The sequence below is a fragment of the Homo sapiens genome, chromosome 20 (assembly GCF_000001405.40).
Source record: "Homo sapiens chromosome 20, GRCh38.p14 Primary Assembly".
NCBI lineage: Eukaryota > Metazoa > Chordata > Mammalia > Primates > Hominidae > Homo > Homo sapiens.
This window is the reverse complement of record NC_000020.11, coordinates 36,836,271-36,864,257: the sequence shown is the minus strand read 5'-3', so window position 1 is coordinate 36,864,257 and position 27,987 is coordinate 36,836,271. Positions and strand designations below refer to the sequence as shown.

At 54.1% G+C, this 27,987-nt stretch overlaps 1 protein-coding gene across 2 annotated transcripts in view, besides 11 other annotated features; it reads left to right on the top strand.

Annotated features, from left to right (window-relative positions):
* Positions 11-900: a silencer, noted in NCBI's record as "silent region_12881". NCBI's record gives its function as "represses an Ori minimal core promoter by ATAC-STARR-seq in GM12878 lymphoblastoid cells {active_cell/tissue: GM12878}" and the evidence as "EXISTENCE:reporter gene assay evidence [ECO:0000049][PMID:35858748]".
* Positions 720-27,987, top strand: part of MTCL2 (microtubule crosslinking factor 2) — an 86,092-nt gene continuing 58,824 nt past the window's right edge. Inside the window, exons 1-2 of one of the 2 annotated variants that reach the window (NM_080627.4) lie at positions 720-1,600; positions 24,817-25,041. In NM_080627.4, the coding sequence (NP_542194.2) occupies positions 914-1,600; positions 24,817-25,041 (912 nt within the window). In that variant the 5' untranslated portion in view covers positions 720-913. Of the gene's footprint in view, positions 1,601-4,384; positions 4,685-24,816; positions 25,042-27,987 lie in introns of those variants that run through there. The other variant, NM_199181.3, reaches the window with a different exon arrangement.
* Positions 971-1,120: a silencer, noted in NCBI's record as "silent region_12880". NCBI's record gives its function as "represses an Ori minimal core promoter by ATAC-STARR-seq in GM12878 lymphoblastoid cells {active_cell/tissue: GM12878}" and the evidence as "EXISTENCE:reporter gene assay evidence [ECO:0000049][PMID:35858748]".
* Positions 6,130-6,630: an enhancer, noted in NCBI's record as "H3K27ac hESC enhancer chr20:35486031-35486531 (GRCh37/hg19 assembly coordinates)". NCBI's record gives its function as "activates a minimal SCP1, AML or CMV promoter by ChIP-STARR-seq in primed H9 embryonic stem cells {active_cell/tissue: H9 hESC(primed)}" and the evidence as "EXISTENCE:reporter gene assay evidence [ECO:0000049][PMID:30033119]".
* Positions 6,631-7,132: an enhancer, noted in NCBI's record as "H3K27ac-H3K4me1 hESC enhancer chr20:35485529-35486030 (GRCh37/hg19 assembly coordinates)". NCBI's record gives its function as "activates a minimal SCP1, AML or CMV promoter by ChIP-STARR-seq in primed H9 embryonic stem cells {active_cell/tissue: H9 hESC(primed)}" and the evidence as "EXISTENCE:reporter gene assay evidence [ECO:0000049][PMID:30033119]".
* Positions 8,137-8,637: an enhancer, noted in NCBI's record as "H3K4me1 hESC enhancer chr20:35484024-35484524 (GRCh37/hg19 assembly coordinates)". NCBI's record gives its function as "activates a minimal SCP1, AML or CMV promoter by ChIP-STARR-seq in primed H9 embryonic stem cells {active_cell/tissue: H9 hESC(primed)}" and the evidence as "EXISTENCE:reporter gene assay evidence [ECO:0000049][PMID:30033119]".
* Positions 9,140-9,640: an enhancer, noted in NCBI's record as "H3K4me1 hESC enhancer chr20:35483021-35483521 (GRCh37/hg19 assembly coordinates)". NCBI's record gives its function as "activates a minimal SCP1, AML or CMV promoter by ChIP-STARR-seq in primed H9 embryonic stem cells {active_cell/tissue: H9 hESC(primed)}" and the evidence as "EXISTENCE:reporter gene assay evidence [ECO:0000049][PMID:30033119]".
* Positions 13,749-14,248: an enhancer, noted in NCBI's record as "H3K27ac hESC enhancer chr20:35478413-35478912 (GRCh37/hg19 assembly coordinates)". NCBI's record gives its function as "activates a minimal SCP1, AML or CMV promoter by ChIP-STARR-seq in naive and primed H9 embryonic stem cells {active_cell/tissue: H9 hESC(naive and primed)}" and the evidence as "EXISTENCE:reporter gene assay evidence [ECO:0000049][PMID:30033119]".
* Positions 13,877-14,018: a silencer, noted in NCBI's record as "fragment chr20:35478643-35478784 (GRCh37/hg19 assembly coordinates)". NCBI's record gives its function as "represses an EF-1alpha promoter that drives an FKBP-Casp9 reporter gene in an ReSE screen in phorbol 12-myristate 13-acetate-treated (for megakaryocytic differentiation) K562 erythroleukemia cells {active_cell/tissue: K562(+PMA)}" and the evidence as "EXISTENCE:reporter gene assay evidence [ECO:0000049][PMID:32094911]".
* Positions 17,958-18,007: an enhancer, noted in NCBI's record as "active region_17824". NCBI's record gives its function as "activates an Ori minimal core promoter by ATAC-STARR-seq in GM12878 lymphoblastoid cells {active_cell/tissue: GM12878}" and the evidence as "EXISTENCE:reporter gene assay evidence [ECO:0000049][PMID:35858748]".
* Positions 18,178-18,327: an enhancer, noted in NCBI's record as "active region_17823". NCBI's record gives its function as "activates an Ori minimal core promoter by ATAC-STARR-seq in GM12878 lymphoblastoid cells {active_cell/tissue: GM12878}" and the evidence as "EXISTENCE:reporter gene assay evidence [ECO:0000049][PMID:35858748]".
* Positions 22,539-22,598: an enhancer, noted in NCBI's record as "active region_17822". NCBI's record gives its function as "activates an Ori minimal core promoter by ATAC-STARR-seq in GM12878 lymphoblastoid cells {active_cell/tissue: GM12878}" and the evidence as "EXISTENCE:reporter gene assay evidence [ECO:0000049][PMID:35858748]".

Genomic DNA, 27,987 nt, shown 5'->3' with positions numbered 1-27,987 from the left:
GGGAGCCCGAGCGCGCCCGGGAGGTGTGAGCTTTGGGTCCCATCGGCGCCGCCTAGACCGTGAGCTTGGCGCGTGCACCCCAGGCTTCAGTTTACGCATCTGTGCGATGGGATCGCGGCTCCGGCGATGCCGGCTAAGGGGGCGGAGTTCGCGCACGCTCGGCACGGGGCGAGGGGCGAGGCGCTGGGCGTGCATGGATGCGGGTTCCTGCGAACTGAGGTCCGCCCGGCCTCGGCCCGGGAGTCCCGGCTCCCGCCGCTCTCGCAGGCCCTGCCCGGACGCCGGGCGCAGGGGCGCCTCCGCCGGGTGCCTTCCCCGAGCGGGCAGGGGAGGAGGCGGCGGAGCGGAGGAGGAGGGAGCCCGGGCCGCGGCTGCCCGCGCCAGCCTGACCCTCGAAGGGGTCGCTGTTGCCTCGCAGATCCCTCCCTCGCTCCCTGCCTGCGTCCCTCCCTGCCGCTCCCGCCGCGTCCGCCTTTTGTTCGCGGAACCGCGCGCCCCCGAGCCGAGGCGGCGGGGCGGGGAGCTGGCGGGGCTGCGCGGGGGGCGGGCTGCGCCGGGCGGAGCCGGGGCCCGGGCCGCAGCCGGACTCGGAGCCCGAGGGAGCGATCGGCGTGCGGGCGGCGGGGGCCCGGGCGCGCTCCGGGGGCGCGGCGAGGCCGAGGGGGCGGGCGCCGGGCGGAGCCGCAGCCGGAGCCGGGGCGCCTGGAGGCGGTCGGGCCGCACTCTCCGAGCCCAGAGCAGCGGAGAGACCGCGCGGCGGGGCTTGGGACGGGGACGCGGTGTCGGGGCCGAGGTGGGCCGAGAGCAGCCGCAGCCCCAGCGGCCGGAGCCGCGCCGGGTCCCTCCCCAGGGACGTCGAGGCCGGGCGGGCCTGGGCCATGCGCGCAGCTCGCTGAGGCCGAGGGAGGCCGCGATGGAGGCGCCGGCGGCCGAGCCCCCGGTCCGGGGCTGCGGTCCCCAGCCCGCGCCTGCACCCGCGCCTGCCCCGGAGAGGAAAAAGAGCCACCGCGCGCCGTCGCCGGCCCGGCCCAAAGACGTGGCCGGCTGGTCGCTGGCTAAGGGCCGCCGCGGCCCAGGCCCGGGCTCAGCAGTCGCCTGCAGCGCCGCGTTCTCCTCACGGCCGGACAAGAAGGGGCGCGCAGTGGCTCCCGGGGCGCGCGGTGCGGGTGTGCGGGTGGCCGGGGTCCGCACCGGGGTCCGTGCCAAGGGCCGTCCGCGCTCGGGTGCGGGGCCGCGACCGCCACCGCCGCCCCCCAGCCTCACGGATAGCAGCTCGGAGGTGTCGGACTGCGCGTCGGAGGAGGCGCGCCTGCTGGGCCTGGAGCTGGCGCTGAGCAGCGACGCCGAGTCCGCGGCCGGGGGCCCGGCGGGGGTCCGTACGGGGCAGCCGGCCCAGCCCGCGCCCTCCGCGCAGCAGCCCCCGCGGCCGCCCGCCTCCCCGGACGAGCCGTCGGTGGCCGCGTCGTCGGTGGGCAGCAGCCGCTTGCCGCTCAGCGCCTCGCTTGCCTTCTCCGACCTCACCGAGGAGATGCTGGACTGCGGGCCCAGCGGCTTGGTGCGGGAGCTGGAGGAGCTGCGCTCGGAGAACGACTATCTCAAGGTGGGGGCGCCCGGGTAGAAAGGGAGGTCGCAGGGGTCGCCGGCTGTCACAGTCCCGCGGGCCTGAGGCACCAGCCGGCCCTCCTTCCCACTGAACAATCCGGAGAAAGGGGCCCAAGCCCTCTGGGGACCACTCTGAGGTGGATCTGGGGCTCCCTCATTCCCCCCGCCCCCTCTCAACTTTATTTGGGAAGCGCGCTCCTGAAAAAGACCTTGGAACTGGCTACAGGGCCCTAACCTGGGAGCGGGGACTTGAGAAAGCTTTGGAGCGTTCTGGGAGGCGTTGCTGAGGTGGGGGTGGGTAGCCAGGGAAGGGATGGATCTCTGCCTTCAGCTGCCCAGAACCTCCACGCCCAGGCTCTCCTTCTTGGGACGGGATTGATAGACACCGCCGCCAGGGAAACCTGTGGCCATCCCCTGCCCAGGAAAGGCCTGAATGCCATCCTGAGTCGTTACCCAGGGCTTTCCCGGGCGCAGGCCTGTCTCTGCCTGCCTTTCTGGGCGGGTCCAGTTTGAAAGCATGACATCTGGGAACATCCCCTTGGCTGGAGTCCACTTCCGCCCAGCCTAACGGTCCCACAGCCTGGAGGATGATGTCGTGGGAGAACCGGTTCAGAGGCAGCTTCCTAAATCCCAGGACAGTGTCTTTTGCCCTCCCTGGGGCAGACCTTGTGCACACAACAGCCCCATTGGCCCCTCGTGGCCAGTGCCTTTCCATGTTCGCAGTGAGAGGAGGGCAACTGCCCACCTGGAACAGGACTTCCCTGTGGCCATGTGGGGACCCTAGGGCTTCCCCCGGACAGCAGGCTTTGCCTTTGCTTTTTCAGTGGACATGAGCACCTACTGGGTGCCAGCCGGGCTCCATCTGCACGCTTCCAGGTGCCATGGCAGCTTTAGGGACAGCCCAGCTTGCACGTGTTGACCTCTCCCTGGGAGGCTGGAAGCTTCCTGAGCTCTCCTGCCGCTGGCTGGGCACGGTTTTGGAGGAGGCTGAAATGTTGCCGACTCTTGTCAGTGGATGATGGCCTGGCACAACACCCAGAGTGCCCCTGGCTGTGGAGCTCACAGCATGCTGCTGGTTTATGTCTGCCCTCAGCACTTAGGTTTTAACTTTTCCTTGTGGCTCTTCTGACCAAATGGGCTTCTCCCTCATTAGAGTGTTGGTGTCTTGCTCAACTATGTCTCTGTCTCCCCATTTTCCCCGGGATCTGCTCTCCAGCCTGAGTTCTGTAAATGCTTGTAGTATGGAAGGACAAGGTCTGTCTGAATCAAGAGACACCTTTCCCCAAGCCAGGCCTCAGTCTCCTCATCCGTTAAATGGGAGGATGTCTTCCCAAGGGCCGGGTTCGGTGTTGGCAACTGGGAGTTCAGTCGGCTCTTTGAGTCTTCAGAAGCCGGTGGTAAGGAGAGGGCAAGTGGAAGGTGAGGAGGAGGAGGGAGGTGACGAGCCAGGACAAGGGTCTTTTGCTCCTGCCCTCTTGGTGCTCTGAGCTGCTTCCAGTGAGTGCTGCCTGAATTGGCCTTAACCGAAACTCTGAGTTCCTCACCCCTGCCTCCCGGTTCCTGCTACTCACTCTGGTGAAGGGGGATGGGTTGCAGAGCTTTGCTTCAGGGCTCCTAGGCACCCATCTCCATGGGCCCCTGTCCATCCCAGGAAGTCATCAGGCTCTGACCCAAAGTCTGTTTGAGGCACCCATGACTGTTTAAAGGGGAAAACAGTCCCAGGAGGCTGGGGGTTGAGCCCGGGATCTCACAGGGGCCGGGGTCCAGCTGGGGACATCCCACGTTTGGGCCAAGATGGAACCGTAATTTCCACCATTCATTCAGTGGCTCAGGCTTCGTGCTGCTATTGGATCTGGGGTCTGTCGCTTCCTGACGGCGTGATCTTTGGCAAGTTACTTAAAGGCCCTGGACCTTTGCTTTCTCATTTGTAAAAATGGGACAGTAACACGCTTTCCAACCTCAACGGTTAAATGAGCTGATTCCTGCAAACACCATTAGAGCACCTGGTATGTAGTAAACCTCTGATCACTGCTCTTGTCAGAGGCACGGGACATGTTTCCATGTGCACCCAGCCTGTTCTCTTGTGGATTCTGTGAGGGCAGAATAGATCCTCTTCATCACCCAAGGCAGGCTGGGCTCTTTCTCCTGGCCCCTCATTGGTTCATTCGGCAGCTGTTTATTTAGAACCTGCCGTGTGCTAGGGCAGATCTGGGATACAGCTGTGGACAAGGGAGGATGAGGTGTCTGTTTTCATAGAGCTTTTGGGGAGACCAGAATTAAACAATAGTCATACAAGAAATCACAACACAGATCATAATGAGGGTAAAGGGGACAGTTTGCCAGGAGCACACGAAGGTGGGGGCTGGGGTGCACAGGGAGGCTGAGGGCTGCAGGATGCCGTGGAGCCAACTGAGTGAGGGTCTGGAGTAAGAAGATTTCAGGCTAAGGGAAATTGGAATGCTCGTTGAGTTCAAGAACAGCGCTAAGGCCAGAGAGGGGAAGGAGTGTGGGTAAGAGAGGAGAGCAAGGCCAGCCCATGCCACTTCTCACTGTGTACATTTGGGTTAGTCCCTTAACTTCTCTGTATATCTGTTTATCCCAGCCGCCAGCCTCACAGAGGCAGGGTCAAAATCCAGAGACTAAATGTGGACCATAAATAGAGGGGTTATTACTGGAGGTGTTGTGTTGTTTATTCCACAGATGGGAAAACTGTGGCCAGAGTGGGTCCCAGAGCAGGGTCGCTAGGCTGCCAGGGCTTGGAGTAAGCATGTGTTAGACTCTTGATGTGTTTTCTGCCTTTCTGGACTACTTTGCCTCTAAGATGCAGAAACTGAGTACAAGGGAAAGGACTCCAAATCCCCAGTATGTCCCCTGCAGGAGCAGAGTTGAAGGAGGTCCCACCAGGTCTGGTGGGTGGCCCTGCTCAGGCTTACCTCCCCCTTGTAGGGGTCACTGGGAACTGTCAACTGCGAAGGACTGTGATCTCCAGTCTGGTATGGTCTGCTCTGGGGTCCAAGTGAGGAAAGCATAAATCGGGCAACTCTCTCCCAGTGAGAAGATAGAAGGAGCTTCTACAGAGAAGGTAGTGAGCTCACTGTCACTTTAATTATTCAGAGAGAGGCGGGATGACCTTGCATGCTTGGATAAAGATAGAGGGTTTGTGGAATGATTGCTTGAGAAGGGTTCAGAGGGAGATTGATGTGGTGGCTGCAGTTGAGCTGCCTGACCTTGGGTCCCTTCTAGCCAAGGAAGTCTGAAGGTTATTAACTACTGAGGTGCCAGGATTCTAAGATGCAGCTTTAGCTGCCGAGCAGACACGTCACCTGAGACCTTCAAAGACCCGGTGATCTGAGGTCTTCCAGCCTTTCATCACCACTAACCATTAAGCACGTACCATGTGGCCAGAACATGTAGGAACCCACTGGGTGTGGATGGAGGAATCTGAGAGTTGGAGTCTGAAGACCTGACTTTGAAACCTGACTCTCCCGTTTACTGTGTGGCCATGGGCAAGTTACCTGGCTTCTCTGAGCTGCTTTTTTTCTCATCTGTATAATAAAGGTGATGGGGCCTGGCGCAGTGACTCACGCCTGTAATCCCAGCACTTTGGGAGGCCAAGGCGGGCGGATCACCTAAGGTCAGGAGTTCGAAACCAGTCTGGCCAACGTGGCGAAACCCCATCTCTACTAAAAATACAAAAATTACCCAGGCGTGGTCGTGGGCGCCTGTAATCCCAGCTACTCAGGAGGCTGAGGCAGGAGAATCACTTGACCCTGGGAGGCAGAAGTTGCAGTGATCCGAGATGGCGCCACTGCACTCTAGCCTGGGCAACAGAGTGAAACTCTTGTCTCAAAAAAAAATAAGTAAAGGTGATGGAACCTGCCTGGACAACCTCATACGATGGTCATCAGGAATCAGGGAAGTGTGAATAGACAAGAAAACATTTTGCAAGCAGTGAACCCAAGTCGCCTGAGGAATTGTTATTATTCATAGCCAATAGGCAGACAGGATGTCTGTGTCTTCATTCTTGGAGGAACTGGGAGAATGCAGGAGGGTGGATTTCCTTAGTTTTAGAATGTTAATACATCAGTAGCTGCCCCAGGGAGAACGGAAAGGTGTGATCACCTTCCCTGCCGTGTGTGTGTGTGTGTGTGTGTGTGTGTGTGTGTGTGTGTGTGTGTGTGTGTGTGTGTGTTTTCCCTCCTTGGTGATTCTAGATGTGAGTGAAGTGCAGCCAGTGTGTGTGTGTGTGTGTGTGTGTGTGTTTTCCCTCCTTGGTGATTCTAGATGTGAGTGAAGTGCAGCCAGTGTGTGTGTGTGTGTGTGTGTGTGTGTGTGTGTGTGTGTTTTCCCTCCTTGGTGATTCTAGATGTGAGTGAAGTGCAGCCAGTCTAGATGTCAGCTCAGAAGGGCCTGGAGGAAGCACCTAATCCATCCCCACTTGCCATTTTACAGATCAGTAAATGGAGGCTCTAAATTACATAGCCAGGATTCCAACCCAGGTTTGTCTAACTCTGGGCCTGTTCTTTCTGCAGTGTGACCAGAGCAGTGAGCTTTTGGTTGTTAACTAGCGTGTCTAGGCTGAGACACATTTGGTGAGAGGAATCCTGTCATGGGCCAGGCTCTAGGCTAAGGCATGCTGGGGGCCCGGAGCCTGGGGGAGGTGGGGGTTAGTGGAGGATGTTTGTGTGTGCATGTGTGTGAGATTGTTCCTTCTGTAACATGGGGGACAAGCACGCCCGCCCAGGGCCGTGAGGACCCTTTTCAATGTGAGGACGCAGATGGAGTGCACAGTGAGTGTTAGTGTGTCCCAGTCATTGCCGATCCCTTATCCGTTCCTCCAGGCATTCATTCATTCATTCAACACATATTTCCCCAGTGGCTCCTGGGTACCAGGCCCTGTGCTGGGTGTCTGGACCCAGTGGCCACGTAGTAGGCTTCTGCATGTAGCTCTTCTCTTCTTGGCTCCCAGGAGCTACAGGGGGAGGACTCTAGTCTGTCACTGGGTGGAGGAGAGGAGGTCACCACAGTCAGCAAAGCTCTTGGCTGCTCCTTACCCTGAGTCCCAGCCGCAGCCTCCTTGGGGCTGAGCCTGTGTCCCTGGGCATACTCTGTCTTGCACATACAAATGCACATATACTGTTCACAGCTCAAGCTCAGAGACACACAGCCACTTGCACACATCTCACAGACCCATCCAGTGACTCGCTGGTGTTGGATGCTTTCAGAAGCACGCCTCCAGACAGATTAGAGAGGATACTCACTCAGAGAAGTGCACAAACCCATGCAGCCACACAACTCCCATTCTATCACACGCACACATCACCAAACAGACACAACGGAGGCTCAGACCCTGCTGCAACCCCCACGTCAGAAACACATTCTCATATACACATCTTACACCCCTAGACACACCCGGATATGTCCCAGAGACAGACTGACATCCTGCAGACACACTCAGACTTATCAGAAGTACACATGTAGGCGGAGACACAAACCCACACAGACGTTATACACACACACTAGCATCCACAGAAGTCTGCACATCTACCCTTGCCAGGCTGGCCCAGGCACAAGCTCACCACCCGGGTACCTCCCCTGCCTCTTCTACAAAGAGAGCAGCAGAGACTTGCACACCTACCCGAGGCTTACAGACACCCACCAAGGGGACTCCCACATGCACATCAGCAGGGACACAGCACAGTCTGGCATGCAAACATTAGGCATGTAGCATTTGCCCACAGGAGCCAGAGGCTCTCAAACCAGGGAACCTAGACACACGCACACACGTGCGCGCACGCACACACACACACACACACGCTGTGACATTTCATCCACACACAGAAACAGGAAATCCTGGTCTGTGTCTCCCTGGAGCTAATGTGTACAAACTACTACTGTTTTCAGTGGCTCACTAGACTTACTTCTACAAGGCTGCTGGGAACACTAAGGAGTGTGGCCAGGGCCTTGACTTTGTAACCTTCTGGAGCTGGGGGTCTTGGGGTCCTGGGTGGTGGGTGGATGGGGGTGGTAGGTCTTGAAGTCAGAAGAAGCTACACCGAAGTCCCCCAGGTCCCTGATGCCCAGCTCCTGGGCCCAGGGCCAGTGGGGCTGAGTGAAGTGGACCGATTGTCGAGCTGCCCACAGAAGAAACACTGCCCGGGGGCAACTCCCTTCTAATCTCCTTGGAATTTCCTGCTGGCCCTATCTCCCCCTTCTCCCCCTGTTCCCTTGCTGGGGGCTGCAGAGGGCCATGCCACTCCCATCTATAAAGGGTGCCCCATTCTGGCTGGGGAATGATGGAGGCAAGGGTAGAGGTGGCTAGAGGAGCTATGGGAGCTCAGAGGAGGGACTTGGCAGACTTCCTGGAGGAGGAGGTGTCCTTGGAGCTGGGGAGTTAGCCTCAAGTGGCTGTCTCTGTGCCCAGCTCTTAGAACAGTGCCTGCCATGTTGTAGGGGCTCAATAAATATGTGTACAATTAAGTGAAAGGCAGTAGGCAGGGCCTGGAGGTGGACCACAGGCTTGAAACGGAAAAGCTGGAGGGAGTGGTGGGAGCTGGCAGGGATGGGGAGAGTCTGGGAAGGGGCGTTGGGCTGGCTTGGGAAGGGCATTGAATGCCAAGCCAAGGGAGCACCTTGCTGGGAGTGGTCTTGTTGCAGCAAAGCTGCAGCCACCTCCTTTTATGTGTCTGCAGCCCTGGGCCTGAGGCCTGCCCTGCCGGAGAGGCCTGGGGAGGGAGGAGAGCCAGGCTGTGTGGTCTAGGGGCCAACTCCACCTCTGGAGTCAAGTCTGGAGCCAAACCTCACTGTGTCACCTCCTCCGTGTGCATGCTGTCCCTGTGCAAACCCCTCACCAAGACTCCGTCTTCCTCCTGTAAAATGGGGATGTGATCCTTTCTAGTGGGGCACTTGGGAGGCTGACAGCTCAGATGTTCTGTGCACCTAGCACCATCCTGGCACAGAGGAGGGGAGGAGGCCCCGTGTCTTGCATAGCCTCCGGGGCAGAGAGAGTCCCCTAGGAAAGGGGCGCAGCTAAGTTCAAGCAAGGGCCTGCCCAGCAGCCAAGGTTTTCACTGAGGTCATTCCCCTAGTCCCCACATGCATGACCTCATCCATGGTCACGTTCACTCCCCTTGGTGCCGGAAGGAACTTGGAGCTGGGGTGCTCCATGCCAGGCTGACCCTGGCATCACTGGAGGCCTCAGTCAGCACTGCATCTACCTGCTTTGCGGTAGTGAGGCACAGCAGGGGTCAGAGCAGGTGGAAGCAGCAGGCCAGCCCTTTGTTCTCCGAGGTCCAGGGTGGTTGGGAGAGAGCACTGTGATCTGGAGCCAAGCTGACTGGGCTGGAATCCCAGCTCTGCCTTTTCCTTTCTGAGCTTTCCCTTTCTGAGCCTCGGTCTCGTCATCTGTAGAATGGGGATGTGGATGTCCTTGCCCCGCACGTTGCCGTGAGGGTTCCGTAAGAGAAAGTGTGCAGGTGTGGGTCCCATTAGCCAGGTCTGGCTCCTGGGAAGGACCCGACAGCACTTGGCGCTTGCCTGTTATATCTGGCTCTGGTGTGACCCCCGTGACCCCAGGTTAAGCTGGGTGCTTGATGACAGGGGCTGTGCTTGGCTCTGGGTGTCCCTCTGTGGGTGTTGGCTTGGGGCATCAGTCTGAGTGTTATGCACAGAGCTGCACTGCATTTTGGGCACCCCCAAACGTATATCCCTGTCTGTGTCCCCCCTTCCCTCCCCCACGGCGTCGTGTCACTCTTCCCTGAATGGCCCAGGCTAGTGCCTCCAGCTTAGTAACTGGTGATACACATTTGCTAATGGAAGGACACCTTTGGCGGCCCCTCATTCTCAAATGGAGGTGAATCATCTCTCACTGCCTGAGCCACAAGGAAAAGCTCAGCCTCTATGAAAAAAATTCTGGGGTTCCCTAGCTAGGCTGGATCAGCTGAACATCTTTACTCTGGTTGGGGCCCAGGCCTGCTTTGGGTCTTCTGGGCTCGAGTCAGTTGCACCAGCCTCTCCCCTCCCCGCCTCTCCTTGACCCTACCCCATGGTGGAGCAGCCTGTGTGGTCCTGCCTCCCACAGCCTCACCCACCCCTGCCCCGCCCAAGCTCTGCGGGTGCTGGACACACCCCGGCCTCTGTCCCGTGCTCTTGCTCTTCCCATCCGGCCTTTGTGCTTGCAGTTCCCGGCTCCTTCCCTTGGTTTCTTCCTCCACCTTTGAGCGCTCAGCCCCAGCAGCAGCTCCCCAGGTCAGGCTCCTGTGTCAGACACCTTGGAGCTCCCTGGAGCTTCCTTTGGGGCATTTACCACGATGTTGATTAGATTATTAATGGGGTAATGATAGGTTTCATGCCATCACTGCCCCACCTTTCCCTGCATGAGGGCAGGGACCTTCCAGGGTAATTAGCTCCTTCCTTTTACAAAGGGAGAAACTAAGGCCCAGAGAGGTTAAGGGGCTTGTTAGAGGTCATGCAGCCTGTAAGTGGCAAGAGGCAAGACTGGGGTCTTGTGCTTCTCTCCAGGATGCCAGGCAGGGGGAATGGCAGGGGTGTGAAGTGCTGGGGTGTCCTGGAGCTTCAGGCTTTGTGGCCTTGGGCCACTCTCTTTGGAGCTTTGCCTTCTATCCCTAAAGACCTCAGACCCCTGCTCTGAGTTTTTGAGATTTCGCTGCAACCCAGAGGGTGTTTGGGGGATGTTTTAAACACATCCAGGTCCAGATGCTGCCTTCCTTCCTGTTCACATGGAAAGGATGGGAGGAAACTGTCAGGCGCTTCCTGACACGAATGCCCCAGAGGCCGTAGGGCCTGTGGATATCTCCCTGCTCTGCCAGGTAAGGCCTTGAATGGGAGAGTGACAACAGTGACAAGCCAGATGTGGCCTTGGTGGGCAGTGGTCTCTTACCAACAACAACCACCACACACACACACACACACACACACACACACACACACACACCCCTCCCTGATAGAGCATCTGTAGTGTCTCTTGTGCAGAACTGTACCAGACGGATCTGGGAGGCTCACTCCTGACTGGCTGCGTAGACCTTATCTTCCTGGGCCTCCGTTTGCTTGTCTGTGAAATGGGGATAAAATAATAATAGTGCCTGCCTCTAAGGATCATCACTGAGCAAGAGATAATGGCTTTTCTGTCTCAGTCCGGTGTCTGGAACGCATTAAACGCTTGTCAATGTTAGCTATTGTTATCGTCACCATTGTTCATTATAAGACTGTCTAGTCCAGCTTATAGGAGCTCCAACTGGACCTGAATCCTGGCTGTGCCACTTAGTGTGTGACCCTGGGCAACATACTTGACCTCTGTGAGGTTCCTCTCCCATCGGGGATTGCTCGGGCTGCAGTGAGAGAATGTGCACTCCCTGGCGGGGATCAGGGGTGCACAGGGAGCATCTCATTTCTTGGCATTGGAGAGGCGGGTCCAGGCCCCAGTCTTCCCTCATTATTCCCAACCAGAGGAGCAGGACGTGGTGAGTCTCCAGGGCCAGGCAGCCTCTGTGTTGTCTGGAGTGGGGACATCATGTGGCACGGTGATGCCAGGCTGCGTGTCCTGGCCTTCTTTCCCCGGGACCTTTTTTTTTTTTTTTTTGGAGACGAAGTCTCACTCTGTCGCCCAAGCTGGAGTGCAGTGGCGTGATCTTGGCTCACTGCAACCTCCGTCTCCTGGGTTCAAGTGATTCTCCTGCCTCAGCCTCCCGAGTAGCTGGGACTACAGGCATGTGCCATCATGCCTGGCTAATTTTTGTATTTTTAGTAGAGACGGGGTTTCATCATGTTGGCCAGGCTGGTCTCGAACTCCTGACCTCAGGTGATCCACCCGCCTCAGCCTCCCAAAGTGCTGGGATTACAGGTGTGAGCCACCATGCCCGGCCTCATCAGGACCTTTGATGCAACTTCCTGAAAACTGGACCCTAGCTTCTTCGCAAGGATGCTAAGCTAGATTGAGCTCTGGGGTGGGAGACAGGTGCCCAGAGTCCCCCCTCCCACTCAGTGCTATCCCCTCCAGGGACTGTGGGATTGTCCCCTGTCCTTCTCAAGGCCTTTCTGTCCCTGGGTATGAAGGGATTGAGTCTTTGGTTTCCCTCCCCTGCTGCTGTGCCCAGAGTGTTTGCATTTGGGCTGAGAAGTGGAGCTCTGCGGAGTTTTTTGCATATCCTTTTTTGGGGTCCAAGTGTGATGATCTCATCTGGAGCCTTGACAGACTCCTGGGGGACCGGCAGAAGGGACGGCAGATGGCTGCCCTGGCCTCTTGGGTGGGGCTGGCATGCCGCCCCTGTGGCCACTGCCGGCCCACTCCACAGAGCAGCCCTTCCGGGGCTGGGGTGAGTGGCCCGGGCCCGGGCAGGAGACGAGTGGCCCAGAGCCAGGGTGGCAGATGGGAGGCAGCCCAGGCCTCGGCCTGAGGGAGGGACCATGGTGGCCAGGGCAGTATGGGAGCAGGCGGGCCAGGCGGAGGCTCCCGTTCCTCTGTAGTGTGGTTGCTGCCTCGCAGAGTGAAGGTTCTGGGCCTCTCAGCTCAGCTCTGTCATTCTTCTGGGTTGGTCTGCCCGTCGGAGGGCTTGTTGGGCCCCTGGAACCTGGGGAGGAGGTGGTACATTTGGGTAAGGTTTGGAATCTGGCAGGGCTGTGGCCTGGGTGTTGCTGGGCTGGGACTTGAGCCCCACCACTGGGGTCTGAAGCACCCATGGGCATTAGCTTCACAGAATCAAGGAATTAGATTCAAACACAGGAGCGCTGACTAGAAGTAGTTTTCTGTAGGGGAGTAGAACAGGGGGATTCTCCTCCCCTCTGAGGGCCTGTGTATTCATTCAGCACCTCTTTATTGAGCTGTTCTGTGTGTCCCAGGCACTGTGCTGGGCTCTGTCCTCCTGACATCACATCCTGGTGGTAGAGACTGACATTCTGCAGGCAAACAGACAAATAAAACGCTGAGTATCACAAATAAGCCTATGATATATGCCAAGAAAGAAACAAGGGATTAAGATGGACGTAATGGGCCTGGAGGAGCATGGAAGGCTTCTCAGAGGAGGTGGCATTTCAGTGGAGACTTGAGGCAGAAGGCAAGCCAGCAGGGCAGAGATGGGGGGCAGGGAAATCCAGGCAGAGGAAACTGCAAGGCCAAAGGCTTTGAGGTGGGACAGGTGAGGTGGCTGCTGGTTGCCTACGACCCAAGTGGCTGCTGTGTTGCCAGTGAGAGGAGGCGTCGAGGGAGATGAAGATGGAGAAGTGGACGGGGCTTAGGCCAGGCAGGGCCTGTATGCTGTACGATGGGATTTGGGTTTTCTTTTGTATGTGATGAAAAGTCACTGGAGGTTTTGTTTTGCTTTGCTTTTTGCTTTTTGGGGTTTTAGGTCAGGTGTACTGGGTATATATATACAATATACTGTACAATATACTGTACAACTATATACAATATACTGTATAATATATTGTACAAATATATACAATATACTGTACAATATATTATACAAATACATACAATAAAATGAATTTTGGCAAATGCATCCAGTTCTGTAGCCACCACCACAACCAAGATATAGAACAGTTCCTTCACACCCCAAATTTCACCCTGTGAGGTCAGTTCCTCTCTCGATTTCAGACCCTGACAACCACCGGGACTGTTTTCTGTCCCTAGAGCCTTGCCGTTTCCAGAGTGTCAAAAACAGACTCATACAGTGTGTAGCCTACTCAGTCTGGCTTCCTTCCCTAAGCTTCCTGCATGTGAGCTTCCTCCATGTTGCAGGTGTCAGCAGTTCTTTCCTTTTCATCGCTGAGTAGTATTCTATTGCGTGGACGTACCACAGTTTATCATTCACCAGCTGAGGGACATTTGGGTGATTCCCAGGTTTTGGTGATCATTGGAGAATTTTAAACAGGAGAAAATTTTAAACAGTTTTAACCACATTTTAAACATGGTTTTAGAAAAAATCACTCACTGTACTGAATGGAGAACAAATTAGTTGGGAGCAGAGTGACCATCATAAGGATTAAATCCAATAATTTGGTGATGGATCTGGCCCACCATAGGCACTCACTAATTGTTCAAACAAAAGGGCTGTGCCCTGGGACAGTCAGGGAGGCTTTTGGTGGAGGTGGCTTTTTTTTTTCTTTTTTTTTTGGTCAAACACAGTCTCATTCTGTCATCCCGGCTGGAGTATAGTGGTGCCATCTTGGCTCACTGCAACCTCCACCTCCTGGGTTCAAGCAATTCTCCGCCTTAGCCTCCTGAGCAGCTGGGATTACAGGCGTGCACCACCACGCCCGGCTAATTTTTTGTATTTTTATAGAGACGGTTTCGCCATGTTGACCAGGCTGGTCTTGAAGTCCTGACCTCAAGTAATCCGTCCGTCTCGGCCTCCCAAAGTGCTGGGATTACAGGTGTGAGCCACTGCGCTCTGCTGGAGGTGGCTTTTGAGGTGGGAAACAGGTGTGGAGTAGGAGTCCCAGGCAGTACAGAGTCCCATGGGAGTGGGTGGGCTCAGATTCCAGCTCCCCGCCCCTGAGCCAGCCTTGGCATATGTAGAGTTGCTAGAATATGGTCTGTAGGGGTCATATCAGAGTTCCCCAGGGACACTAGGGGCTGACTCTTGGGTGGGAGGTAGCTGAGGGACTTCCGCTCTGGAAGTCTCTTCCTTGGTGGCTGGCAAGAGGCAACCTGCTCCTGCCTTTGGGAGCCTCATGTCCCCTTGGTTCTCTCCGTGTCCTCCCAGCTGGGAGCTGTTGCTGGGTTCAGACCACATGCTGCCACTTGTGTTTCTGCAGAGGGTCCTGGTGTTTGGTCACTTTCATCTCCAGCCCCACAGCTCACCAGCTGCTGCAGGCCAATTCCGTCATAGCCATGCATCTGGAGCCACGTGCAAAGGTTCCAGTGGGCCCCAAATCTAAACTTCCCCCCGCTGTCCTCAGTGTACAAACGTAAATCATTTTATATCTGCGTGGGTTTCTGATAGAAAGTAATCTTTCTTAGAACACTTAAAGTGTGATTTACCAGCCCAGGCTGGTAAATCACTAAAGCAAGACCCCCTCTCTACAAAAAATACAACATTCAGCCAGGCATGGTGGTGTGTGCCAGTAGTCCCAGCTACTCAGGAGGCTGAAGTGGGAGGATGACTTTAGTCCAAGAGGTCAAGGCTACAGTGAGCTGTGATCAAGCCACTGTGCTCCAGCCTGGGTGACACAGAGGGACCCTGTCTTAAAGAATAAAATAAGTAAAAAGTGTGATTTGAAAGTGGAGCTCTGCTTCTCCCGCCTGTATTTCATTTCAACATTTAAAGTTATATCTTATTTTGGCTGGGTGCGGTGGCTCACACCTGTAATCCCAGCACTTTGGGAGGCCGAGGCGGGTGGATTACCTGTCAGGAGTTCAAGACCAGACTGTCTAACGAGGCGAAACCCCGTCTCTACTAAAAATACAAAAATTAGCCAAGCGTGGTGCTGCATGCCTGTAATCCCAGCTACTCGGGAGGCTGAGGTGGGAGAATCGTTTGAACCCCAGAGGCAGAGGTTGCAGTGAGCTGAGATTGCACCATTGCACTCCAGCCTGGGTAACAAGAGTGAAACTCCGTCACAAAAAAAAAAAAAAAAAAGGAAACCAACTATATTGAAACACAGTTATTAAAGTATTTTTAAATTACAACATAGTAATATGTGTGCTTATTAACTCATAAATTCTGGTGACAGATCTAACTAGCATAATTTCAAACTACTGATGAGTGTAAATAATATTTTGACATTTTTGCAGCAACTGTTATATGATATGAAAATACCTGTGATTTTTTTTTGGTGGCAAAGTCACAGATATTACTCATATAATGATGATTTGTTCATAGGCCCAGAATAGAAGGAAATGCTACATTTTACTTAGAGGTCAGTGAAAAGGAAGATGTGATTTTCCAAGTTCATGGACTCCCTGAGTTCTGGTTCCAAGGAAAGATCTTGAAGTTGGTGGTTGGACTTTGAGTCCTGCTTGGAGGTCTCACCCCCTCCCCCTGCCTGTTTGCGTGTGCTTGGGCACCACCCACCTTCCCTGTGCTTCTCTGAAGTTCTTCATCTGTAGAACATGGATGATGGTTCCTGTCTTTCCTTACTGGGAGTGGGGGGTTCAGTGAGGATCTGTGAGATGATTCAGATGGAATGTCTTTGTAAACTGTGAAGCCCTCTGCTGCTGTGCAAGATCTTGCTATTATTAGCAGTAGTGTGAGCTCATGTTTGGCTGTCCGGCCCAGCCGGGACCAAGAGGCTCTTCCTGGACAATTCTCCCAGGATTCTTGGGAATCAGTCCATCGAGGGGAGCAGGTTTGCCTTTGAGAGGCTGCTTCCTGCAGGCTGAGCTCATGGTTTGGCAGGGGGTGGACAGAGATGCACCTTGTGGGCAGGGAGTGGGTGGGTGAGCAGGAGGTTCCCTACGTAGACAGACCCTGCCTACCCTCCTTGGGTGGCATAGGGATCTGCGACCAGTTCTGATCTGCCCAGGCTCTCCCTCTCTCATTTTTATTTAGAGACAGGGGTCTCACTCTGTCACCTAGCCTGGAGTGCAGTGGTGCACTCATGGCTCACAGCAGCCTGGAACTCCTGGGCTCAAGTGAACCTCCTGCCTCAGCCTCCTGAGTAGCTGGGGACTACAGGCACATGCCCAGCTAAGTTTTTAAAATTTTTTATTTTTTTGTAGAGACGGAGACTCACTGTGTTGCCAAGGCTGGTCTTGAACTCCTGTCTTCCTAACTCTTTGCAGCTGGCTGGGAGTTGTGGACTGGGCAGGACAGAAGCTATACTCTTTTTTTTTTTTTTTTTTTTGAGTCAGACTGTCTCTGTGTCACTCAGGCTGGAGTGTAGTGGTGCAATCCTTGCTTATTGCAGCCTCAACCTCCCAAGCTCAAGTGATCCTCCTGTTGCAGCCTCCTGAGTATCTGAGGCTACAGGTGTACAGCACCATGCCTGGCTAATTTTTAATTTTTTTGTAGAGATGGGGTCTCGCTATGTTGTCCAGGCTGGTCTCAAACTCCTGAGCTCAAGGGATCTTCCCTCTTTGGCCTCTGCAAAGTGTTGCGATTACAGGCGTGAGCCACCGCGCCTGGCCCCATACTCATTCTTTAATTCCTACATCTACCCATAGACAGTGACAGGTACCTGCTCTGTGCCACGGTCTGCCCTGGGTGATGCTGAGGACTAGACACAAACCAGCCCCTGCCCTTCTCCCTAGCTCTTGGGGAAGATTGACATGAAAACAGACAAATACAACCTAAAATTACCAGCACAACGGACCATAGATTTCAGAGTGTGGGGTTTGAATCAGAGTCTGGGAAGGAAATGTTCTGGAAGGATGAGATAGTCAGGAGTCAGCCTGGCAAAGGCCGTTCTAGCAGAGGGAATAGCTGAACAAATTGGAAGAGCACAGTTATGACGCACTGACCCAGGGCCACGTGGCTTGTTTGGAATCCAGCCCCGCAGGTCCCTTGCTCAAGCAGCTCTGCGAAGCTTCTGAGCCTCGTCTCCTCATCTGCAAAACAGGAACGTTTTCAGCACCTACCTCACAGGGTCGGTAAGAGGATTAAACTGTCAACTGATAATGCACGTACTGCCTGTGCGGGGGCCTGGTAATTAGTGAGCCTCCTAATAGGTGGTAGCCGTGTTTTGTTTGTTGAAACAGTCTGTCTCTGTCGCCCAGGCTGGAGTGCATTGTTGCAATCTCAGCTCACTGCAACCTCTGCCTCTGGGTTTCAAGCGATTCTCCTGCCTCAGCCTCCCGAGTAGCTGGGATTACAGGCACACGCCACCAAGCCTGGCTAATTTTTTTGTATTTTTTTGTAGAGATGGGGTTTCACCATGTTGGTCAGGCAAGTCTCAAACTCCTGACCTCAGGTAATCCATCCGCCTCGGCCTCCCAAAGTGCTGGGATTACAGGCGTGAGCCGCCGTGCCTGGCCAATGGTAGCCATTTCTAAAGTCACAGCCTATTTGGACGCTGGAGGGCTGGGGTAAGGCGGGAGTAGGGAGGAGACCAGGGGCTGGCTCAGGACCCGGTAAGGGGACTTGGACCTACTGCAGAAGCTGGTGAGAACCGGTGGAAGAGATAGAAAGCCGTCTACCTTCTTCAGATTTTCTCCAAAAACAGCTATTAACTGTAATCAGAGCAAAAAAGCATTCTCTAGAAAGGGAAGCACTGCCTATCCTGGCAGCAGTGTGGGTGCCCTGGTCCCCCATCCTCCCCCATGCTCCTATTCCCCGTTTCTAGTCCAGCTAAAAAATCTGGGTTAGCTTCAAGAGTAGCCTTTAAGGTGAAGAGGTCAACTTGAAGGAGGTGGCCAGGCCGTGGTGGGGCTGAGGGTCAGGGGCCCCAAGGCTCTGAGGTGGGCACTACCAGGCACTGTGCCCTTTTGTTGTCTGGCAGAGGATGAGGCTTGGGGTTTCCCCAGTGGTGTTGAGGGGATTTTTTTTTTTTTTTTGAGACACAGTCTCGCTCTGTTGCCCAGGCCGGAGTGCAGTGGTGCGATCTTGGCTCACTACAACCTCTGCCTCCCAAATTCAAGCAATTCTCTTGCCTCAGCCTCCCAAACAGCTGGGATTACAGTCGTGAGCCACCACAGCTGGCTAATTTTTATATTTTTAGTAGAGACAAGGTTTCACCATGTCTACAACTTTGTTCCATAGCCACGAGGCCTACTGAGTCCAGTGGAGCTGGGCCTCTCCCTCCCCACTTCCACACAGTTAGGGGGTCTGGGAGCTGGGAGAGGCTCTTCAGAACCACTGAGCTGTCTGTGAAGGAGCTGGGAAGCCTGTGCTCCTCACCCCCACCTCCCAGGGCCCCCCACCCCCAGCTCCTTCAGTTGGATCTGTCACTGGAGAGCTCTCCTGGGATGGAGGCCCAGACTGCATGACCACAGAGCCCCAGAACATTCTTAGGCTCCCTGAGGACTGTGAACCTCTGGAACAGAACAAAGGCCTGCCCTCTGGGTCCCCTCCCCAAGCCCCAGCAGCACCTCTCCTAGCCCCACCTCGGGCCCGGAAAGCCCAGCGCCCCTGCCTAAGTCCTGCATTCGCCAGCCTCTCCCGCCCACGTCCCTGCAGACCCAGCCTGGGGCCACAAGCCTGCCTTTGTCAGCTCACCCTCTCACGTGGGGCCGTGCCAGCAGGGGCTAACGGGCATTCTGCCTGCAGCTGGGACTAGCCCCCTGAGAGGCCTAGGCCCCCCTGGAGAGATGGAACTGGCGTGAATGCAACATCTTGGGCTGTCACAAATTGACTGTGGTGAAGGGCAGGCCTTGGGGAGACAGCTGCTCATGTGAGAACTATCATTCATTCATTCACTTATTCAAAGGATGCTTGCTGAGATCCTGCTCTGTGTCAGGCCCTGGCATGGGGACTTGTGCTCAGAGACCTGACTCTTGCCCTTTTAGGGGGGGAAATAACTAGAAGGAAACGCCCTTCATCAGAATCCCTTGGGGGGCTCACCCTAGGAGTTTCTGATTCAGCAAGTCTGGGTTGGGACATGAGAATTTCTCACAAATTCACCAGTGATGCTGATGTTACTGGTCCAGGAACTGCACTTTGAGAGCCACTGTAATTCAGGTATTGTAATTATGCATGGATTATGTTTTCTTTTTCTTTTCTTCTTCTTCTTCTTCTTTTTTTTTTTTTTTTGAGACAGAATCTTGCTCTGTCACCCAGGGTGGAGTGCAGTGGTGTGATCTCAGCTCACTGCAATGTCCATCTCCTGGGTTCAAGCAATTCTCCTGCCTTAGTAGCTGGTATTACAGGCACCTGCCACCATGCCTGGCTAATTTTATATTTTTAGTAAAGACAGGGTTTCACCAAGTTGCCCAGGCTGGTCTCGAACTCCTGACCTCAAATGGTCCGCCCGCCTCGGTCTCCCCATAGTGCTGGGATTACAGGCGTGAGCCACTGCACCTGGCCTGTTTTCTCTATTTTCAAAACTGTCTCTATGATCATGTTTTACTTTTAGAGACAGGTTCTTGCTCTGTTACCCAGGCTGGAGTGCAGTGGTGCAATCATAGTTCAACAGAACCCCAACCTCCTGGGCTCAAACAATCCTCCCACCCCAGCCTCCCAAGTAGCTGGGGCCACAGGTGCACTACCAGACCAGGTAATCCATCCACCTCAGCCTCCCAAAGTGCTGGGATTACAGGCATGAGCCACCGCACCTGGCCAATGATAGCCATTTTTAAAGTCACGGCCTATTTGGATGTAATACATTATTATTATTGTTGTTATTATTATTATTATTATTATTTTTTTTTTGTAGAGATGAGGTCTTACTGTGTTGCCCAGGCTGGTCTTCAACTCCTGGGCTCAAGTGATCCTCCTGCCTCAGCCTCTCAGAGTGCTGGGGTTACAGGGGTGAGCCACTGTGCCCTGCCAGTGCTTTATTTTATTTTATTTTATTTTATTTTTTTCTGAGACAGAGTCTCGCTCTGTTACCCAGGCTGGAGTGCAGTGGCATGATCTCAGCTCACTGCAACCTCCGCCTCCTGGGTTCAAGCAATTCTCCTGCCTCAGCCTCCTGAATAGCTGGGATTACAGGCGTGCACCACCACGCCCGGCTAATTCTTATATTTTTAGTAGAGATGGGGTTTCACCATGTTGGCCAGGCTGGTCTCAAACTCCTGACATCGTGATCTGCCGGCCTTGGCCTCCCAAAGTGCTGGGATTACAGGCGTGAGCCATCGTGCCCGACCTGGCCTGTTTTATAAATAAGAAAATCAGTCATTTAAAAGTTAAAAAAAATGATTTCCAAAAATGACTCTAGTGCTCTGGGTGTGATCTTGTGTAAGAGATGTTACCTCCCATGATCTAAATGTCATGCATTTGTTAATGTAGCCCAGCATCATAGGGTTGTGTGCATTTCCCCTTGGTTCAACCTGAGCTTGGGGTCCACTTAGACCCTCCTATTCTTTCCATCACCATATCCTGTCATTTTAACTTTCTAGAGATAATAAGTGAGGTGCTGGTAACCGGCATGGCTAGGATTTGAACACAGATCCATCTGGAGGCTGGCCTAGCCTACCGGCTTGCACTTCCTGAGTGATCTTTCCTTCATGCTTCCTTCACCGGCTGCCTGAAACAGCGCGTGGATCCTTCACTTCCTCATTTTTTTAACTGGTGTGATCATTTACTGTTCCACTTCCTCCTCTCCACTCTGGTTCTGTCCACGTGGTATGCTGGTGGGGTGGTGAGTCTATGAGGGTGGAGGTGGGGGTGGGGGGCTGGCAAAGTGACTGTTCTCTGCAGCCCCAGGAGTCAAACCGATGGGCAGGAAAACCTCTCGAGCTTGTGAGAACTGGCCTGGAGGGCAGGGCTCCCTAACCCTGACTCTGAGTTAAATCCATCCAGCCTCAGGGGGCGCTGGCAACCCCAGTCGTACCCCCTTCCTCACAGGGAGCCATCCTACCAGGCTGACCATTGGAAGAGCAGAGCAGTCCTCCCCATCTGGGCAGGCAGGAGTGAAGAGAGAGAACCCCATGTTTGTTCCTTTCACAGGCACAAAATCAGATCCCCCTTCCTCCCAGCCCCAGCGAGGGTGTGGTGAGGGGTGCTCGGACAGAAGCCAGAGGTGTCCCTCTGACGGGAGCAGAGTGGACACTCCCTCCTCCCAGTGGCAGCATGAGGAGGGAGGAATACGAGACCCCACTTCCCAGTCCCTTCCTTTCCGTTTTCTTTGGGGAAAGACGGGTAGGGAGAGCTGAGGAATCCGGCTCTCCAGATCTGCCCTCTCCAGGGCCCACAGAGGCCTTCTTGCCCCTTGGACCCCCCACCCCTGCTTCCATCACTGCCATCCTCGGTGCTTCCCCTGGCTCCTCAGGGATGCCTTTAGCAGGTCATTCATCCCTGGTGACTCTGTTTCTCTTTTTTTTTATTTTGTGAGACAGAGGCTCGCTCTGCTGCCCAGGCTGGAGTGCAGTGGTATGATCTTGGGTCACTGCAACCTCTGCCTCCCAGGTTCAAATGATTCTCCTGCTTCAGCCTCCCGAGTAGCTGGGATTACAGGTGCCCACCACCATGCCTGGCTAATTTTTGTATTTTTAGTAGAGACGGGATTTCACCATGTTGGCCAGGCTGGTCTTGAACTCCTGGCCTCAGGCGATCTGACCGCCTTGGCCTCCCAAAGCGCTGGGATTACAGGCGTGAGCCACCGCACCTGGCCAGTTTCCCTTCTTAGTATACAATCTTATTTAAATCATTCGGTCACATTAAGAGTAGGTATTATCATTCCCATTTGTGACTAGGTTTTCACATTTGTATGAGACATAATAATTATGCATTTCTTCTGCGTAATTCTACTTCCCTCCCCCTTACACTTAGTATCTAATGATTGTTGCACATTCGTATGTCTTTTTTGTTGTTTTTGACCTGACTAAACATGCATGCATCCATTCAGTTAATATTTGTTGGGAGGCTACCACCTGCTAGGCCAAATGGGGTTGCCTCCAGGCACTCATGGTTTGGCTGGGAGACAAACTATTAAACATAGAATTGCAAATTTGCTAATAATGATTACAAAGGAGAAGTGAGGAACAGCTGGAAGCTGATGACAGCGGTAGCAGAAGCTGCCTTCAGGAAGTGAGGTCATACTCTTACCCTCTCTGCTTAAAACCCAAACCCAGGCCAGGCATGGTGGCTTATGCCTGTAATCCCAGCACTTTGGGATGCTGAGCTAGGCAGATTGCTTGAGCTCAGTTCATGAGCAACCTGGGCAACATGGCAAAACCCTGTATACACACACACACACACACACACACACACACACACACACACACACCCCACCCCCCACCCCCGATGTGGGGTTGTGTGTCTTTGGTCCCAACTACTTGGGAGGCTAAGGTGGGAGGGTGGCTTGAGCCTGGGAGGCAGAGGTTGCAGCGAGCTGAGATTTTGCCACCGCACTCCAGCCTGGGTGACAGAGTGAGACCCCATCTCAAAACAAAAGCAAGCAAACAAATCCCAAACCCAAATTCTATTTGGCCCTTCACAGTACCATGTGGTTGACTCCTGTCAGTTTCCTCAGCCTCAAATTAACCCAGTAGCTGCCCTGGCCTCCTTGCTGTACCTTGACACACTGAGCTCTTTCCTGCCTCTGAGCCTTGGCACACACTGTTCCCTCTGCCTGGAATAACCTCTCCCCCTAGCTTTCTCGGCTGTTCCTTCTTGTCTCAGCTCAAATGTCTCTTTTGTAGAGATGGCCTCCCTGATCATGTCCCCTAACATAGCACCCCCCCTCACCCTATCATATAACTCATGTTGTTTGGTTTCATTTTGGCTTTGTCTTTATAGCACTTAACAGTATCTGAGGTTTGTTTTTGTTTTTTTTTCTTGGAGATAGGGTCTCACTCTGTCACCCAATGGTGCAATCTCGGCTCACTGCATCCTCTGCCTCCTAGGTTCAAGTGATTCTCATGCCTCGGCCTCCCGAGTAGCTGGGATTACAGGCGTGAACCACCACGCTGGGCTCATTTTTTTTTTTTTTTTTTTTTTTTTTTTGTATTTTTAGTAGAGACAGGGTTTCACCATGTTGGCCAGGCTGGTCTCAAACTCCTGACCTCAAATGATCCACCCACCTCGGCCTCCCAAAGTGCCGGGATTAGAGGTGCGAGCCACTGCGCCCAGCCAGGTGTCTTTTGTTATTATTATTTTCTGGTTTACTGTGTATCTTCCTGGTGAAGCTTGGGGCTCCATACAGAGTATATAGAAGGGGCTGGACCCACCCCATTGTCCCTCCCTGCCCCTGCGCTTAGCACAGGGCCTACCTAGGACGTACATAGTTGATGCTCATCCATGTTTCTTTTTTTTTGAGACGGAGTCTCGCTCTGTCGCCCAGGCTGGGGTGCAGTGGTGCGATCTCGGCTCACTGCAAGCTCCGCCTCCTGGGTTCACGCCATTCTCCTGCCTCAGCCTCCCGAGTAGCTGGGACTACAGGCACCCGCCACCATGCCCAGCTAATTTTTTGTATTTTTAATAGAGACGGATTTTCACCATGTTAGCCAGGATGGTCTTGATCCAACCTCGTGATCCGCCCATCTCAGCCTCCCAAAGTTCTGGGATTACAGGCATGAGCCACCGTGCCCAACCTCATCCATGTTTCTTAAATGGCCTCTCCTGCTTCCCCAGTGTGTTCCTGTTGCTTCTGTAACAAATCACTACAAATTTAGTGGCTTAAAAGAACACCAGGCCAAGGGCACGGTGGCTCATGCCTGTAATCCCAGCAATTTGGGAGGCCGAGGCAGGCTGATTACGAGGTCAGGAGATGGAGACCATCCTGGCTAACACGGTGAAACCCCGTCTCTACTAAAAATAAAAAAAAAAAATTAGCCAGGCGTGGTGGCGGGTGCCTGTAGTCCCAGCTACTCAGGAGGCTGAGGCGGGAGAATGGCGTGAACCCAGGAGGGGGAGTTTGCAGTGAGCCGAGATAGCGCCACTGCACTCCAGCCTGGGCGACAGAGCGAGACTCCGTCTCAAAAAAAAAAAAAAAACACCAGGCTGGGCAGGGTGGCTCATACCTGTTCCCAGCACTTTGGGAGGCCAAGGCGGGCAGATCGCTTGAGGTCAGGAGTTCAAGACCAACCTGGCCAACATGGTGAAACCCCGTCTCCACTAAAAATATAAAAAATCAGCTGGGTGTGGTGGTGGGCACCTGTAATCCCAACTACTTGGGAGGCTAAGGCAGGGAGAATCGCTTGAAGTAGGGAGGAGGAGGTTGCAGTGAGCTGAGATTGTGCCACTACACTCCAGCCTGGGCAACAGAGTGAGACTCCGTCTCAAAAACAACAAAAAAATGAACACCAGATTATTATCTTCTGATCCTGGAGGTCAAAGGTCTAGAAATCAAGGTTTGGGCAGGGCTGCATTCCTCGGGAAGGCTCCAGGGGAGAAACCTTTTCCTTGCCTTGAGAGGCACCCCCTTCCTCCGTCATCACAGCCCCTTCCTCCAACATCAAAGCATCTCACTCCAGCCTCTGCTTCTGTTTCCCTGTCTTGGGATCCTTAATTTACTCATATTTGCAAAGTCTCTTTTGCCATGTAAGGCAACATTCACAGATCCTGGGAATGTGAACATGGACGTCTTTGGAGGTCTGTCATTCAGCCTGCCACATCCAGGTCCCCCACGGTGCTTCATTCAGTCCTAGGTGTGGCCAGTACTCCGGCCTCCTAGCTGCTACTGTGGGCCCAGTGACCTGACTCTTCCTTCCCTCCGCAGGACGAGATTGAGGAGCTGCGGGCCGAGATGCTGGAGATGCGGGACGTCTATATGGAGGAGGACGTGTATCAGCTGCAGGAGCTGCGACAGCAGCTGGACCAGGCCAGCAAGACCTGCCGCATCCTGCAGTACCGGCTGCGCAAAGCCGAGCGCCGCAGTCTCCGTGCCGCCCAGACCGGCCAGGTGGACGGCGAGCTTATCCGTGGTCTGGAGCAGGATGTCAAGGTCAGCCTGGGCTCGGGTGCCCTTGTTGCTGGGATGGGACCACAAGTCTAAGTGGGGCCCAGGTTGGCCTTGCATCTCATTTCCGTGTGTCCATGGCCAAGTTCTACCACCTCTCTGGGCCTCAGTTTCCTCATCTAAGTAGGAATTCCTGGTGAACCCACAGGGCTTCTATCAAGGGTATCCCAAAATGATATCATAATATGAATCCTTCCTACTAGCAGCAGCTACTGTTTTTTTTTTTTCCTTTGAGACAGAGTTTCTCTCTTGTTGCCCAGGCTGGAATGCAATGGCGCGATCTCAGCTCACTGCAACTTCTGCCTCCCGGGATCAAGCGATTTCTCTTGCCTCAGCCTCCCAAGTAGCTGGGATTACAGGCACCTGCCACCACACCCGGCTAATTTTTGTATTTTTAGTAGAGACAGGGTTTCACCATGTTGGCCAGCCTGGTTTCGAACTCCTGACCTCAGGTGATCTGCCCACCTTGGCCTCCCAAAGTGCTGGGGTTACAGGCATGAGCCACTGCGCCTGGCTGAGAAGCTACTGTTTATTGAGTATCAACCACCACCTGGTGCTAGCCTCTAATTGTCCCCGCACAGTTCCATGGGGGTTTCTTTTTCTTCTTGTTTTTTTAGAGACAAGGTCTTGCTCTGTTGCCTAGGTATCAGGCAGTGATGTGATCATAGCTCACTGTAGCCTCCACCTCCTGGGCTACCCCCACCTCAGCTTCCTGAGTAGCTGGGACTACAGGCACACACCACCACACCTGGCTAATTTTTCTATATGTTGTAGAGATGGGGTCTCATTATGTTGCCCAGGCTGGTCTCAAACTTCTGGGCTCAAGTGATCCTCCTGCCTTGGCCTCCCAAAGTGCTGGGATTACAAGGATGAGCCACGGTGTCAGGCAGAGGTTCCTTAATTATGCTAATGAAAAGTAGTGAAGGCCTCGAGACCATCCTGGCTAATACAGTGAAACCCTGTCTCTACTGAAAACACAAAAAATTAGCCAGGTGTGGTGGCAGGCATGTGTAGTCCCAGCTACTCGGGAGGCTGAGGCAGGAGAATGGCGTGAACCCACGAGGCGGAGCTTGCAGTGAGCCAAGATCGTGTCACCACTGCACTCCAGCCTGGGCGACAGAGCGAGACTCCGTCTCAAAAAAAAAAAAACAAAGAGAAGTAGTGAAGGCCTAGAGTTGGTCAAGGCTGGTTTAAATCTTGGCTCCAATATACCTGAACTTTATTATTTTGAGCAAAGTCATCAATTTCAGTGTCCTCATCTGTAAAATGGGTTTGCAGCAATCTCTATCTCACAGGGTTATATGAGGATTAAATGAAATAATGCGGGCTGGGCACAGTGGCTCATGCCTGTAATCCCAGCACTTTGGGAGGCCGAGGCGGGCAGATCACCTGAGGTCAGGAGTTCGAGACCAGCCTGGCCAACATGGTGAAACCCCATCTCTACTAAAAATACACAAATTAGCCGAGTGTGGTGGTTCCCGCCTGTAATCCCAGCTACTCAGGGGCTGAGACAGGAGAATCGCTTGAACCCGGGAGGCGGAGGTTGCAGTGAGCTGAGATCGCGCCACTGCACTCCAGCCAGGGTGACAGAGTGAGACTCCGTCTCAAAAATAATAATAATAATAATAATAATAATAATAATAATAATAATAATGTGGGTAAAATGCCAGCATAAGGACTCAAAAATGTTAGCTATCATTATTTCCATTTTCTTGATGAAGAATCTGAGGTTCAGAGAAAAGCAATACCTGCCGAAGGTCAAGGGGCGCTCAGTGTGTTGGTGGCAGAGCCCAGGCTCATGAGCCTCCCAAGCCTCCAGCTTGGCCTCACTGCTCTCTGCTTCAGGAAGCAGGGGAAGGGTGGGTGGGAGGTTGGCAGGTGGGATGTCCCCCTGCCTGTCTTCGGAAGCTCTGGTCTGGTGGTGAGAACTCCAGGGCCCCCAGGCCCGGCCCTCTGCCCTCAGAACTCAGCCCAGTGTGATCTGGTGACACGAGGAGCTGGGATGGGGCCCTAGGGAGGCTTCCTGCAGGGGTGACTTCTGAGTGAAGGCCCAAGGGAGAAGTGGGCCTGAGCCAGGAAGGGGGAAAGAGGAAGGTGGCAGAAGATGGCTCCTGTGAGGACCCAGGGGAGCGGCAGGATGCGAGTCAGCCACACACTTACCTGGGGAGAAGTCCCTTCTGTTGGAAGACACTGGCAAACTCAAGCCCTATAGCCTTTCCAGTGGAATATAAAAGAAAAACCTTTGTTAAGGGACCAGGGAGAGCCATGGTTTCAAAGGCCAGCAGAACCAGGGGAGGTAAACAGGAGTGCCTGTTCCAGGAAGCTGCTGGCGCCCCCTGTGGTCTTGTTGGTGCACAATGGGATTGTAGTGCTGTCCTACACATGAGGCAACCAATGGTTGTGTCTCCGCCAGAGGTGGAGGCTCATGCCTGTAATCCCAGAATCCCAGCGCTTTGGGAGGCTGAAGTGGGAGGATCGCTAGAGGCCAATAGTTGGAAATCAGGCTGGGCAACATAGCAAGACCCTATCTCTACAAAAAAATAAAAAAAATTAGCAGAGGCTGGGGGTGGTGGCTCACACCTGTAATCCTAGCACTTTGGCAGGCCGAGGCGGATGGATCACCTGAGGTCAGGAGTTCGAGACCAGCCTGGCCAACATGGTGAAACCCCGGCTCTACTAAAAATACAAAATGAGCCGGGTGTGGTGGTACACGCCTGTACTCCCAGCTACTCAGGAGGCTGAGGCAGATGAATCGCTTGAACCTGGGAGGCCGAGGTTGCAGTGAGCTCACACCATTGCAGTCCAGCCTGGGTGACAGAGTGAAACTCTGTCTCAAAAAAAAAAAAAAAAAAAAAAAAAATTAGCTGGGCGTGGTGGCAAGTGCCTATAGTCCCAGCTATATGGGAGGCCAAGGCCAGAGGATTGCTTGAG